The sequence below is a fragment of the Homo sapiens genome, chromosome X, assembly GCF_000001405.40.
Source record: "Homo sapiens chromosome X, GRCh38.p14 Primary Assembly".
NCBI lineage: Eukaryota > Metazoa > Chordata > Mammalia > Primates > Hominidae > Homo > Homo sapiens.
In genome coordinates, this window is record NC_000023.11 from 44,950,735 (window position 1) to 44,966,041 (window position 15,307).

Genomic DNA, 15,307 nt, shown 5'->3' on the forward strand with positions numbered 1-15,307 from the left:
TATTTGTCATTTCTTTGCTGTGGGATATGATGAGGTTTCTCTTCAAATAATCTGATCAATCTTTTATTCTTTAATTCATAGTACCCTCCCTTCCCCCTTTTTCCTTTTTCTCCTTTTTTTTTTCCTTTTTGCCTTTGTTATAGATGCCCAGGCACGCAACAGTATCAGGCGTTATCAGTACCAGCTCACATTCCTTTCCTTATTTGGAAAGAGGACTAACTTTCTACCTCATTACAGATACCTCTTCCCCTTTCCTCTCCACTTTCTTTTACGTGCCCATCTTACCTAAAAAAATTCAAATGTTCAGCCAACCGGGATTAGTTTAGATTGTATGACCCGACCCCGGCCAATGAGGAAAGGGTACAGGGGCAGGACTTGCATCAGGAATAAAGGCTCTCGTGCCCCTTTGTTCAGGTGTGCTCTCATGGTGACTGGCCAAGGAGGCACCCCTCTGTGCAGAGGTAAAATTGCTTTGCTAAGAATCCTTTGTTCGAGTGTTCAATTTCCTTAGGATTTTGAGCGTTATTCCTAACATTTGCCAAAAATACTAAAGAGAGAAAAATCAGCAACACAAGGTAAACTAAGGAGTTGTCATTCTGAAGCTGCAAAAAGTGGGATAAAGCTGTTTAACATTTTCCAGATACATACCACACTTAGTCTGAACTGGTGTATTATTTTATACATATACATATGTATATATGTAGTAGTGTTTTATTTTTCTGTCACAGTTGTCTTTTGAATATGGGAACTTAGTTTTTTTTGGTTGGGTTACTTTTGTTTTGGATATGTTTATGTCTGTTTATTTTTTATTTTTTGTTATAGTGATGATTGCTTTTTATAATGATTTAAAATAAAGAGGGGCGAAAAAATATGGTAGAGAACTGAGGCTAAGTCTGGGAATGGTTTGTGAGAGCTGGGAGTTGAAATTTTATGTGTTGCTTTTCTGCTTGGTGTGGAGTTGGGGAGGAGGAGCTAGTGTGTAGGAGAAAAAGCTGATTATGGAGAGGGTCGTTCTTGCACATGACTTTAGGTCCCTGGGCATGACCTGAGTCAACTACCTTACTGCTCAGAGGCTGTGAAGCCATACTGTTTGAATCTTTGCTAGTTTGTAGCTTTGTGACCATGAGCACAGGATTTATTTAGGCCTCAGTTTTCCTGTCAGTGAAGTAGGGTTAATTACTGTAATAGACCCCATTTCATAGTAATTGTGAGGATTAAAGAATAAGTATATGTAAGTTGCTTAGAATAGTGCTTGGTACATATCAAGAGCTCAAGTATTAGCTATCAACACTTTACTAAGTTGTCTAGTTTGATTTCAATAGTGTAATTCTTTGAGAGTATTTTGCAATAGCAAAGTGTTTTAAATAGTTTATTTGAAAAGAATGGTTCTTAAAGTGCCAGTGATGGTTTCTTGAATGTTGAATGATGCTTGTTTACTCATTAGCATTCAACACATCCCATGAATGCAGAGTAGTAGGCCCAAAGAGACTGAAAAATCTGGGATTCAGACTGGCATCTAACTTTCATTCTACTGACCTTTTTTTTTTTTTTTTTGAGACGTAGTTTTGCTGTCATTGCCCAGGCTGGAATGCAGTGGCGCGATCTCGGCTCACTGGAACCTCCGCTTCCTAGGTTCGAGCGATTCTCCTGCCTCAGCCTCCTGAGTAGCTGGAATTACAGGCGCCCACCACCACGCCCAGCTAATTTTTTGTATTTTTAGTAGAGGCAGGTTTTCATCATGTTGGCCTGGTTGGTCTCAAACTCCTGACCTCAGGTGATCAACCCGCCTCGGCCTCCCACCGTGCTGTGATTATAGGCGCGAGCCACCGCGTTCAACCCCTCTGCTGACTCTTTTGACAAAAGATGTGTATTAATTGAAAGTAGGAAATAGAGAGACAGACAGGGTAGAGTGACAAATGTTTAAGTTCCTTTATCATCTCGAAAATGTTAGATATGGGTGACGATTAACTGGGTTTCCTTTTTTCTTCCCTCCATCCTTTTTGTGTGTGTTAATGATTATTTCATTAGGCAGTTGTTTTGTTGTTGTTGTTGTTGGTTTTGTTTTGAGACAGAGTCTCACTGCATTGCCCAGGCTGCAGTGGCGTGATCACAGCTCACCGCAGCCACCACCTCCTGGGCTTAAGTGATCCTACCACCTCTCAGCCTCCTGAGTAGCTGGGACCACAGGTGTGTGCCATCATGCCAGCATAATTTTAAAAATGTTTTTGTAGAGATGGGAGTCTCCCTATGTTGCCCAGGCTGGTCTCCAGTAATCCCCCCACCTCAGCCTCCCAAAGTGCTGGGATTACAGGTATGAGCCATTGCACCGAACTTTGTTTTTTTTTTTGTTTTTGTTCTTAAGCGAGGAAAGAGGGTTACACACACATCTGTCTCTTAAAGAATTCTCAAAAACAGTCAGTTCTGGGCTGCACTGGAACTCTACTGTTCCAGGAACATGGGCTTCCATTTCCTACTCTGCGGATCTCAGCTATGGCATCTACCTCTTAGTCCAGGAGAGTTACTGAAGTTCTTGCCATCTGGATGATTCTACCCAAGTAGGCAGAGGAGGGGATGAAGTGGAGCCTGTCTTTCCCTTATATTCCATTGGGCAGAATTTAATCACCAAGCCACACCTACAAGAATGGCTGGGAATCTCAGCCTTCAGTCTGTGTAAAAATGTGCCTAATTAAATTTACGGGTTCTATTAACAAAGAGGAGAAAGGGTATCTGAGACACCTAGAATCTGAAGCAAGTCACAAAACAGTATTTATAGAAATATTAATCAGGTAGGAAAAGTATATGTGCTTACATCTGCATGATATAATCTCTTTTTTCTTTTTCTTTACAATATAATCTTGAATATGTTAGAAATTTTAAATATTTGTTGCTCCTGGGAAATGGAACTGGGCGGCTGGGGTCAGGACTAGGAGAGAGACTTTTTAGTATATATGCCTTTTTGAAGTGGTGATAAATAGACTTTCAAAAATAGTAAATGAAATTAAAAGGAAAAAGTCTGCAAGTTTGATATATAAGTTCAGGAGTAGATATGTCATTAAGAATCAGCAATACTTTATGCCTGTAATCCCAGCACTTTGGGAGGCCAAGGCGGGTGGATCGTTTGAGACCCGCCTGGCCAGCATGGTGAAACCCCGTCTCTACAAAGAGTACAAAAATTAGCCAGGCGTGGTGGCGTGTGCCTGTAGTCCCAGCCACTTGAGGGGGTTGAAGTGGGAGGAGCACCTAAGCCTGGGAGGTCAAGGCTGCAGTGAGCTGTGATTGTGCCACTACACTCCAGCCTGGGTGACAGAGTGAGACCTTGCCTTAAAAAAAAAAAAATAATAATAATACTTAAGATTATTTTAATTGTAACTCTTTCCTCATTAAAAAAAAAAAGTATAATGTGTTGACGTTTCAAAAATGGTTTAGATTCAGGTAGTTTCAATCCTTTTAAATTCTTAAGTGTATTTATGGTGTTTTAAAAGCAGCCAGGCAAAGGCATTGCCGAATACCCGCAAACAGGAAGAATTTCCTTCTGATTTACGACACATCTTTCTGGAAAGGATATCAAGTTTAATGATGCATACACTTTTAGGGATTTGTTGGGAACAGGTCAGAAGAATAGTAATATTATACATTAGATACTATGTCTCTTTATACATAATGTAAAGTAAGAAAACACTCTAATAACTAAGTCGGTGGTGGTGATGGTAGTGGTGCAGTAGAGAAACATCTTTTCTTGATATTGTCTGGATTACTGCAACAAATTCTTTTACTGATCTGTGTCAGAAGTACCAGGGGTGATCTGCTATAGTTACATAGTTTGCCACCTCTTTAGGATGTCTGAATAACAAGCTGTTAAAAATGTAGGAAGTTAGTGGGATGAGAGTTTGATGTGGGGTTGGAGTAGAGTGGGCTTTGTGTTGGGGAACAGGGAAAGAAAAAATATGGATGTGTAGGCTGGGACTGGAGCCAAGTACTCACTGTTATAGGCAGTAGGAAATAATTGGAAGTTTAAGAGCTGGGAAGCATGACAATAAATAGCATTGCTGGAAGAGTGGGTTTTGTTTGTTTAGGGTATGAGTTGGGCTGTAGAAACAGACCAGTCAAGGAGCAACAAGTGGCAGTAACGGTGTAGTACGGGCATTCATTGGAATTTGCGGAAATAATAGGTAAAAAGAAAAAGGGGAATGGTTATGGGAGAAGTGTTAGGGAAGACTTAGCAGTAATCAATTAGATGTGTAGGCATAAAGAAATGATTTGACTAGGTGCTGTTAATGAAAAGGAAAGTTAAAGAGAGAATTTTTGAACAGTGCCAGAAACTTAATTTTTACTTGGTGAATTTAAGATGATGTTGGGATGTCCAAGTGGAAAAAGTCTGATAAGTTGTTTAGAGTTAAAAGATTTCTTCTTCCTTCTTTGTCTTTCTTCTTATTCCCTCCCCACCCCTGCTTCTCTTGTGTAAACAGAAGTTTATAGTGCACAAAAGTGACTCTTGGGAAAGTATCTTTAGTTAAGGATCAAGATAGTAAGGTAGAACCAAGGAAGAAAGAGGAGTGAGGAAGGCAGATGGGTTAGAAAAGAGGATCCAGGAGAAAAAAAAGATATACAGGAGAATAAAGGAGACAGGAACCAGTTTGTCTTCACTTTGGATACCTAGCAGCCAATAAAAGTGACCAGGATGGAGTAGGTGCTCATTGATGAGTGACTGGTATAATACTAAGTATTTTTAATTATCCACAGGTATTATCTAGTTTAGTACCTTAAAAAAAAACTAGTGCAAAATATACATAACATGCAATTTACCATTGTAACCTTTTCAGATGTACTGTTCAGTAGTGTTAGTCTCCAGAACTCTTTTCATCTTGTAAAACTGAAACTTTATACCCATTAAACAACTGCTAATATTTCAGTGATTTTAATAAAAATGTTTGCAATATTTATCCCCATTAGGTTAATATAGGGGTTTTTCTTTTTCCCTAAAATAGTCTTATTTTAAAACTGCGTTGTCTTGAGTAGTCTTTTATTGAGAAAGTTGTAAGCTTCTAAAAACCATAATTCTTTTTTAATTTTTAATTTTATCTTATTTTTTATTGTATAAATTTTACAGGGTTGTACTTAGAATCATAGAGTCCAAGGATATTTTTTTAAAAATGCAAATTAGAATTGTATCCAAAATAAGGTATCTCCTTTGTAACTCCCACTAAAATAGCTTAGTAATATATGCTTTAATTCTTTGTATTTATATGAACCAGTGATGGCCCATTTAATTTTTGGTGTGTTTAATTTTTCCTACCTTCTGAATGAGCTGAATTAAGTTATACTCATTCATTGGCACTATCCAAAGTGCAATTAATCTTCTCATCTAAGTGACTGCTTTTTAAATATTTAAGTAAAGCTTCAATCCTGTTGATTTTCCTCAGTTAAACTTAGTTAAGGTAGTTTTCATATGACAGTTTCCACATCCTTTACCAAACTTGTAGCCCTCTTTGTGTTATCACCTGTTGAAATGTGCTATTCAGAACTGATAATGCTAGAGATCTGATCAGACTAGACCTTGGTGAGCTGATTATTGCTGTTGATATGTATAATATAATTTATTAATTTGGGCCATGAATATTTTTTAAATTTCCTTCCGTTTCCTTTTCTTTTTCCTCTTCCTCTTCCTCTTCCTTTCCCTTTTCCTTTGACAGGGTCTTGCTCTGTCGCCCAGGCTGGAGTGCAGTGGTGCAATCATGGCTCATTGTAGCCTCATCTTCCCAGACCCAAGCCATCCTCCCGCTTCAAGCTTCCCACGTAGCTGGGATCACAGGCATGCACCACACCATGCCTGGGTAATTTTTTTTAATTTTTGTAGAGACGAGGCCTCGCTATGTTGCCTGGGCTGGTCTCGAACTCCTGGGCTCAAGGAATCCTCCTGCCTTTTGCTGGGATTATAGGCGTGCTGGGATTATAGGCGTGAGCCATCGTGCCTGGCCAAATAGCCATATTTCATGGATGATACATTGACCTGTTGTCTGCTTAAATCCCTTAATCTATTTTAAGGAGTCTGCTGGTTGCTGGATGCTCAACCATTGTGTATGCGTATGGTTGGCTTTTTAAAAATTACGGGTAGGGCTCATAATTGGTGGCTCACACCTGTAATCCCACTACTTTAGGAGGCTGAGGCGGGCGGATCACTTGAGGTCAGGAGTTCGAGACCAGCCTGGCCAACATGGTGAAACCCAGTCTCTACTAAAAATACAAAAATTAGCCGGGCATGGTGGTGGGTGCCTATAATTCCAGCTACCTGGGAGGCTGAGGCAGGAGAATCGCTTGCACGCAGGAGGCCGAGGTTGCAATGAGCTGAGACCACACCGTTGCACTCCAGCCTGGGCAACAAGAGTGAAACCCCATCTCAAAAAAAAATAAATAAATAAAAATAAAAATTATAGGCAGGACTGCATATTTGTTTTTATTATATTCAGCCTAAAAGTTTCACTCATTTAAAACCATTGGGGTATTAAAATCTGTATTTTCTCTACCATTTGTAGTCACCCAGCTACTGCAGTTAATCTTTTAAGTTGAAAAGAAAAAAGTTTAAATGTTGCATATATTTAACAATTCTAAAATATTGACAGCGTCCTGTTTTAGCAAGGCACTGACCAAGTTCATCATAAAAGATTAATACTGCACATGAAAAAAATTAAATTAGTTACATGTCTGTGTTCACAAGCTCAAAACTTCACCTGTCAGAGTTTAGAAATACGGGGTAATGGTAACGTTACTTTTCTGGGATAGCTGATTTTTAAAATAATAACAGTGCAGCAGATACCAAGCACAAGTTATATTGAATGTTGTGGAATATGGCACTATGATGGAAATAAAAAACACACCTAAGCTTTCTACGTAGCTGGGAGGATCTTAGTTCATTTATTTCCCTTTTCAGTGTTTTTTTCCCTAGTAGGTAGTAAGGATTATGGATGTGCAATCCACCAGCTATAAACAATTAGAGGATGTAACAATTTTTGTGGAGGGTATTGCTTTTATCCTCCTTGCTGCAAGATATTTTATTAGGCTTTTCATTTATAAACATAAGAAATTTTGCTTTCCTAATATTTAGTATACGGATTGAATATTAAGTTGTTTTTAGGCTTTAAGAATTATCTAGGTCTGTACTGTCCAGTATGGTAGCCATTAGCCACATGTTTGTTTAAATATTAAAATGAAATAATTTAAAAATTCACTTGTCCACTTGCACTAACCATGTTTCAAAGTGCTCAATAACCACATGTGTCTAAATGGCTACTGTATTGGACAGCACAGATCATAGGGTATTTGTATCATTGCAGAAATTGCTCTGTTGATTGCTGATGCAACCACAAATGATTTTCTTTCAAATTTCTGACAATCCTTACACTAAAGGTATAGGATGAGTCCTCAGGGGAAAGCATAATAATTCTTTAATGAATTTTTTTTTTTTTTTTTTGAGGCTGAGTCTAGCTCTGTCGCCCATGGCTGGAGTGCAGTGGCGCAATCTCGGCTCACTGCAACCTCCGCCTCCTGGGTTCAAGCAATTCTCTTGCCCCAGCCTCCTGAGTAGCTGGGACTACAGGCGCCCACCACTACGCTTGGCTCATTTTTTGTGTTTTTAGTAGAGACACAGTTTCACTGTGATAGCCAGGATGGTCTCCATCTCCTGACCTTGTGATCCGCCTGCCTCAGCCTCCCAAAGTGCTGGGATTACAGGCATGAGCCACCACGCCCGGCCCTTTTAATGATTTTTATAAGAATGGAAATGATAGAGGTTAATTATGAAAAAAATCTAAAAAATATAGAAAAGTAAAATGAACAAAATACAAGGAAGATTCTGTGTGGGACAACTATATAGACCTTTTTTTTTTTTTTTTTTTTTTTTTGCTGTGACACAGCCCTCAGGAGATCCTGAGAACATGTGCCCGTAGACTTTCTTTTTTTAGTACCTGTTTTATATTCCAGTCCTTCTTCTCTGCAGTTGTGTACAAAGCTACTGTACAGGGATAATTTTACTTGTGTACATTTAAAATTTTAAAAGCAAGAAATAAAAATAATCCTATTGACTGGAGATATTTTTGCTTTATGGAAGTTTATCTGAATGTTGTTCTGAATCTAAACAGTATGTATCTTCTGTTATCATTAGCCTTTTGAGTAAAAATATAAAAATTCTGTGTTTTATTGTAGATTATTGTATGAGTTAGGAATATTGGAAATTATCTCAAGTTATTTATTTTCCTTTAAATGTTCTTTAAAAAGTGTGTTAGATATTTGGCTGTATCTGATATTAGAATTACCTGAGATACTTCAAATAAATTCATGAAGTTTCACTATGAAGTAGTAATACAGAGTGCTTGGCAACTTTCTTCTGCCTTTTTGCTCATTTTCATCTCATTTGATGTTTGGCTCTGTCAGCATCATTGACCACCAACGTTGTTTGGTAGGTGCATGGCAGCTTTATGGGGAAATTATTAAGAATTTGTTAATCAGGCCTGAGTGTATGGGTACCTGAATTTAAAATCAACCATTCTGGTTTTTACCTGATTTTATATTTCATGATGATCAGCATTATGTATAATATTAATTTTGGTGTGTTCCTTAGTTTTATGACAAGTAGAAGATAGGCAATTGATGATCAAGGCAGTGGCATGAAGGGTGATAAGAGGAAGTAGAGAATGTTGGCATCTTTTTTGTTTATATCATTAAAGTAAATTTGTGTTTATGTCTTGAATCCTTTTTACCATGAAAACATAGTTGCTTATAAATTTAATGTTAATCAGCCATATGAAGCTCTCAGAGGAGTAGGAAAGGTTTATAAATAACCTAAGAGTTTTAAAAAAAATACGCTCACTATTATGAGAACTTTATTTACAATATTCTTATTCATTAATGTAAAATTAAGAATTGTAATGTATCCCAATAATGTTATGAATTTCTCTGATATTATAAAGCACTGTAATAAATTGTATTTTTATACTCTAGCCATCTGCCAGATAAGAATTATATATGACTTAAATAAAAAGGATTTTGAAATTTCATACCTTCAGATTATAGTAATTTCTGAGACTTCAGTGTAGCATTCAGACTTTTTTAATTATAGGGAAGCAGAAAGATTAATTTTCAGTGATTGTGATTTGGTACATATAGCTAAGAGTAGAACAGGAATTGAAGACAAGTTCTTTTGTAAACCCTTAGGCTTTAAGGATAATAGACTCAGCCTAGAATTCGCCTTGTTTAGAATGGATTATCCAAACTTGTTGAATATTTATGTGCTTAGGATAGGTAAATGTTAGGATATAAATTTTTAAACTCTATATTAAAGGCTCTGTATTTCACAGGAGAGGAAAAATGAAGGCATTCGAAGTGAGTACTCTGTCCCACATCACATTTTCTTATCTCAACAAAGTTCTTGAAATGGTAGTGAAAGTTTTTTATTGTGATAGAAACTAACCAAGTTTCTTTCTTTGTGGATACCAAACTTGCAAGTGTTCCTGGGAGTATATCAGAGATTTGAGAATTCACACACATTTCTTACTTTAATGACTCTGGGACACATTATTAACAGAGCAATGTTACGGAGCACTTAATTGTTAATGGGAGAAATTTTGACAAAATTATTGGGAACCTTGAGAGAATTAGAGCTTTGTTATTACCCGTGAAGATAAAGAAACAATTAAGTACCTATTGTGTCCTGAACACTGAGATAAAGCCTTAGAGAAGTTTTCTAGTTTTAATCCTTTTATCAGCTCTTTGAGTGTTACTAAAATAGAAAGGATAAATTCCCCAGGATCTCCTGTAGCAAATGACAACTGGAATTTGTCATCAAGCCCTAGAACTGGGTTCTTTCCGTTGTTCATTTTCTCCTGCAGTTGTCCTGTGTTATAAAAACGAATTTATATTGTTAAAATAGTGTTATTTTTTTCTTTGGGAGAGGAAATGTGAGAGTGAGAGCATGTGCATGAATTGGAGTTAGGAAGTAAGATCAGAAGCAGTTGGTGTGTGAAGTATATCATGTGGAGAAGACAATGGAAAGGCAGTATATGGTAGTTTAAAACTGGTAGAGGTCTGGCAAAAAGTCAGTAAAAGCAGTTCAGTGTAAATTGTAGGTATTTTTATTACTCTAGAGATTCTGTGAGATCTCACATAATTCAATAAAGTTCTTCTCACCTGTGGGAAAGATGCATATTATTTATATTTGAGAGCAGTTTTGTTTATATCAACAGGGACCACAGTAATAATTTAGACTTTCAACTTATGAATAAAATTATCAAAGTGCTCCTATATTATCTTATTTGGCAAGTATTGTTTCCATGTATAGATGGGAAAAGCACTTATGCCATAACTAGTGGCTCTTTTAATAAATACATAGGGAAGCTGTTCCTTCTATAGAATGTTGTATTGAATATGTCTAAGATAGAAGTGAAATTTTCAATATTGACTTCTTAGGTGATCGAATGGAGGCTATATGCATTATCTTGGGGAGGAAATGTATTTTAGGGCTTTATTTTTTGCTTACATATTTGTATTTTTTTATTTCTAGGCTGTTCGCTGCTATGAATCTCTAATCTTAAAAGCTGAAGGAAAAGTGGAGTCTGATTTCTTTTGTCAATTAGGTCACTTCAACCTCTTATTGGAAGATTATCCAAAAGGTAATTTTTTTCTTGTTCATTATTGTTTGATTTATACATGTGTTGGATTGTAATTATTTGTGCTTTATCAAGAGGATTTTCCTAAGAAATTGTAAGTGCATGAGCAAACTAAACAATGAGGAAGAAAAGTAGAGTAGATGGAAATGGAAATCATCAATAAGTTGGCTATTCAGTAAAAGTGAAAACCACCTGCATGTTCAGTGCAGTTTTGTTCTGCCTTGTGAAAATCCTTGCTCTTGAAAGGCCTTCCCATAGTAGAAAGTGACCCAGTTTGATATAGATATTTGTACATTGATGGATACTTTGGAAAGGTAACAAAAACTCACCATTTTTCTTTATCCTATTTAAAACGTTTCCATTTTAGCTCAAAAATATTTGAATGAAAATCTGATCGTTAAGTAGCCATGTTATTGTAAACAAGTAATACAGAGAGATGATCACAGATGAGCCTTGGATAAAACCAGTTTTTAAAATTTACTTGAAATGTTTTTCCTTTAAGAAATAAGTGAGTTAAATAACTGAAAGTAGTCAGCCCCCTAAGATTTGCCCTTTTTATGGTACCAAGCTGCCAACTCAGACCATTACTCAGGAAGTTAAAAGCACCCGGAAACCCCGCCCTTCCAATACCAAAGAAAAAATCCACATTAAAAGAAAATTATTATTATGACCAAGAACATTTTAACCTTTTGATGATAGTAAACATTTTGATGTGGAGTGGATGGATGTGTTATGCTTGTTTTCAACAAGTGTGTTTAGAGGGCAAAACACCTGGCAGATAGTTTCAGGGCTAAAGTGAAGGATTGTTAGTATTTCATATTGATGTTTTATTATGCGACTTTTATGTTAGGTCAAGTGAATGTTTTCCTAATGAAAATGCAATTTTAGTCTGAGACAGGCATATTCTGTGAGGTTTGAAATTAGGCTTATTTCTCAGCTTAGCTCTGTTATATACAGCTGCACTACCTTTAACAGATTATATATAAACATCGCTGAGTATCTGTTGTCTGATCTGTAAAAGGGGAGGAGGTGAGGGATGACGCCTCATGGATTTTCAGATTGTGTGACACTGGTTAGTACTTAGCAAAATGGTTTCAGTCCAACAGGGTAATGGGTGTTAATAGTTACTTAATACTCCGTTAGATATTTTATTTTTAATTAAAACTGGAAACTTATTTAAAGGAAACTATTGTACCAAAAAATAGATAGAGGCATACCTGGGAGATATTGCAGGTTTGATTTCAGACCCCTGCAATTTATTGCGAATATTGTAATAAAACCAATCAAACAAAATTTTTTTGTTTCCTATTACATATAAAAGTTATGTTTGCACTGTAAGTGTGCAGTAGCATTATGTCTAAAAAATGTACATACTTTAGTTAAAAAAAACTTTCTTGCTAAAAAGTGCTAACAATCAACTGAGCTTTCATCAAGTTCTAATCTTTTTGCTGATGGAGGGTCTTGGCATCGTTGTTGATATGTGCTGAGTGATCAGGGTGGTGGTTGCTGCAGGTTGGGGTGGCTGTGGCAGTTTGTTAAAATAAGAAAACATTGAACTTTGTCGCATCAGTGGACTCTTCCTTTCATGAAAGGTTTCTCTGTAGCATATGATGCTGTTTGAAAGCATTTTACTCACAGTAGAGCTTCTTTCAGAAATGGAGTCAGTCCTCTCAACCCTGCCACTACTCTGTTAACTAAGTTTACGTAATATTCTAAATTTGTTGTTATCATTTCCACAGTGTTCACAGCACCTTTATCAGGAGTAGATTCTATTTCAAGAAACTCCTTTTGGCCAGGCACGGTGGCTCACGCCTGTGATTCCAGCATTTTGGGAGGCCAAGGCAGGAGGATTACTTGAGCCCAGGAGTTCAAGACCAGCCTGGACAACATAGCGAGACCCCCTATCTTAAAAAAAAAAATTTAGCTGAGTATGGTGGCATGCACCTACCCTGGAGGCTGAAGTGGGAGGAACACTTGAACCTGGGAGGTTGAGGAGGTTGAGGCTATGGTGAGCTGGGATCATATCACTGCACTCCAGCCAGGGTGACAGAGTGTGTGTGTGTGTGTGTGTGTGTGTGTGTGTGTGTGTGTGTGTGTCTGTCTGTCTGTCTCTGTCTGTCTGTCTGTCTCTGTCTCTCTCTGTGTCTCTTTTTTAAAGAAACTACTTTCTTTGCTCATCTATAAGAAGCAGTTCCTTATCCATTCAGGCTCCACTTCTAATTCTGTTTCTTTTGCTGTTTCCAGCACATCTACAGTTACTTCCTCCATTGAAATCTTGAACCCATCAAAGTCATCTATGGGGAGGGATGGGAATCAACTTCTTCCAGACTCCTGCTAATGTCGGTATTTAGACCTCAAATGTTCTTGTTGCCTAGGCTGGAGTGCAGTGGCGTGATCTCAGCTCACTGCAACCTCCGCCTCCTGGGTTCAAGCGAGTCTCCTGCCTCAGCCTCCTGAGTAGCTGGGATTACAGGCATGCGACACCATGCCTGGGTAATTTTATATTTTTAGTAGAGACAGGGTTTCACCAAGTTGGTCAGGCTGGTCGCGAACTCCTGACCTCAGGTGATCTGCCTACTTCAGCCTCCCAAAGTGCTGGGGTTACACAGGCATGAGCCACTGCGCCCGGCCTTTTGACCTCAAATGTTCTTAATGGCATCAAGAATGATGAATCTTTTCCAGAAGGCTTTCAATTTACTTTCCCGAGATCCATGAGAGGAATCACTATTTATGGCAGCTATATAGTCTTACAAAATGTATTACTTTAATAAGATTTGAGGCCGGGTGCGGTGGCTCACGCCTGTAATCCCAGCTCTTTGGGAGGCCTCGGTAGGTGGATTACCTGAGGTCAAGAGTCGAGACCCACCTGGCTAACCTGGTGAAACCCCGTCTCTACTAAAAATACAAAAATTGGCTGGGTGCGGTGGTGTGTGCCTGTATTCCCAGCTACTCAGGAGGTTGAGGAAGGAGAATCACTTGAACCCAGAAGGGGGAGGTTGCAGTGAGCTGAGATCGCACCATTGCACTCCAGCCTGGGTGACAGAGTGAGACTCTGTCTCAGAAAAAAAAAAAAAAAAAAGACTTGGAAGTCAAAATTACTCCTTGATGCATAGGCTGCAGAATGGATGTTGTGTTAGCAGGCATGAAAACAACATTAATCTGCTTGTACATCTCCATCAGAGCTCTTGGGTAACCAGGTGCATTGTCGGTGAGCAATAATATTTTGAAAGGAGTCTTTTTTTCTGAACAATAGTTCTCAACAGTGGGCTGAAAATATTCAGTCGACTGTGCTGTGAACAGATGTGCTGTCATTCAGACTTTGTTGTTCTATTTATAGAGCATAGACAGTAGATTTAGCATATTTCTTGAGGTCCCTAGGATTTTCTGAATGGTAAATGAGCAATTGCTTCCACTTAAAGGCACCACCAGCATTAGTTCCTAACAAGAGTGTCAGTCTGTCCTTTGAAACTTTGAAGCCAGATGTTGATGAAAGTCCTACATCTGAAAGTCCTACATGGCATCTTCCTCAATAGAAGGCTGTTTCACGGAGATTGAAAATCTGTTGTTTAGTGTAGCTACCTTTATCAGTGATCTTAGCTAGATCTTCTGGATAATTTGCTACACTTCTCCATCAGCACTTGCTGCCTCATCTTGCGCTTTTGTGTTATGGAGATGGCTTCTTTCCTTAAACTTCACGAACCAACCTCTGCTAGCTTTACACTTTTCTTCTGCAGCTTCTTCACTTCTCTTGGCCTTCATAGAACTAAGGAGAGAGTTAGGGCCTTTCACTGGAGTAGGCTTTGGCTTAAGGGAATGTTGTGGCTGGTTTGATGTTTTATCCAGACCACTCAGACCATGTCCATATCAGCAGTAAGGCTGTTTTTGCTTCCTTGTCTTTTGTGCATTCACTGGAATAGCACTTCAAATTTCCTCCAAGAATGTTTCCTTTGCATTCGTAACTTGGCTGTTTGGCACAAGAGGCCTAGCTTTTGGTCTGTCTCAGCTTTCAAAGTGCCTTCCTCACTAAGCTTAATGATTTCTAGCTTTGGATTTAAAGTGAGAGATGCGTAACTCTTTCTTTCACTTGTACACTAAGAGGTCATCGTAGGGTTATTAATATGCATAATTTCAATGTTGTCATGTATTAGGGAATACAGAAGCCCAAGGAGAGGGAGAGAGACTAGGGAATGGCCTGTTGGTGGAGTAGTCAGAACACATGCAACAGTTATCGATTGTTTACTGTCTTATGTGGGCACAGTTAGTGATTCCCCAAAACAATTACAGTAGTAACACCAAAGATCGGTGATCACAGGTCATCATAACAGATAACAATAATAATGAAAATGTATGGAATATTGGTTTACCAAAATGTGACACAGAGCCATTAAGTGAGCACATGGCTGTTGGAAAAATGACACCGATAGACTTGCTCTACACAGGGTTGCTGTGAGCCTTCAATTTGTAAAGAACGCAAATATCTGTGAAGCACAATAAAGCAAAGTGCAATAAAACAGGGTATGCCTGTAGAATTCTATGCAATCTGCTACTTTTTTATTGCTGCACCTTTATGTAGTTGGAGGACATGCTATTTTGAGAGCATGTAAAGAGAGACCTAGACTTGAAAATTAGGTTTACATATGAGGCTACGTGTA

At 38.1% G+C, this 15,307-nt stretch overlaps 1 protein-coding gene across 25 annotated transcripts in view, besides 1 other annotated feature; it reads left to right on the forward strand.

Annotated features, from left to right (window-relative positions):
• KDM6A (lysine demethylase 6A) overlaps nucleotides 1–15,307 on the forward strand; it is a 239,592-nt gene that overhangs the window by 77,547 nt on the left and 146,738 nt on the right. For 24 of the 25 annotated variants that reach the window (NR_111960.2, XR_007068200.1, NM_001419809.1 and 21 more), the window contains one exon: nucleotides 10,550–10,658. Coding sequence is in view for 19 of the 25 variants with exons in the window: in NM_001419809.1 (NP_001406738.1) it covers nucleotides 10,550–10,658 (109 nt within the window). In the remaining 6 variants the exon portion in view is untranslated. Of the gene's footprint in view, nucleotides 1–416; nucleotides 462–10,549; nucleotides 10,659–15,307 lie in introns of those variants that run through there. The other variant, XM_047442428.1, reaches the window with a different exon arrangement.
• Nucleotides 1,752–2,277: an enhancer, noted in NCBI's record as "H3K27ac hESC enhancer chrX:44811731-44812256 (GRCh37/hg19 assembly coordinates)". NCBI's record gives its function as "activates a minimal SCP1, AML or CMV promoter by ChIP-STARR-seq in naive H9 embryonic stem cells {active_cell/tissue: H9 hESC(naive)}" and the evidence as "EXISTENCE:reporter gene assay evidence [ECO:0000049][PMID:30033119]".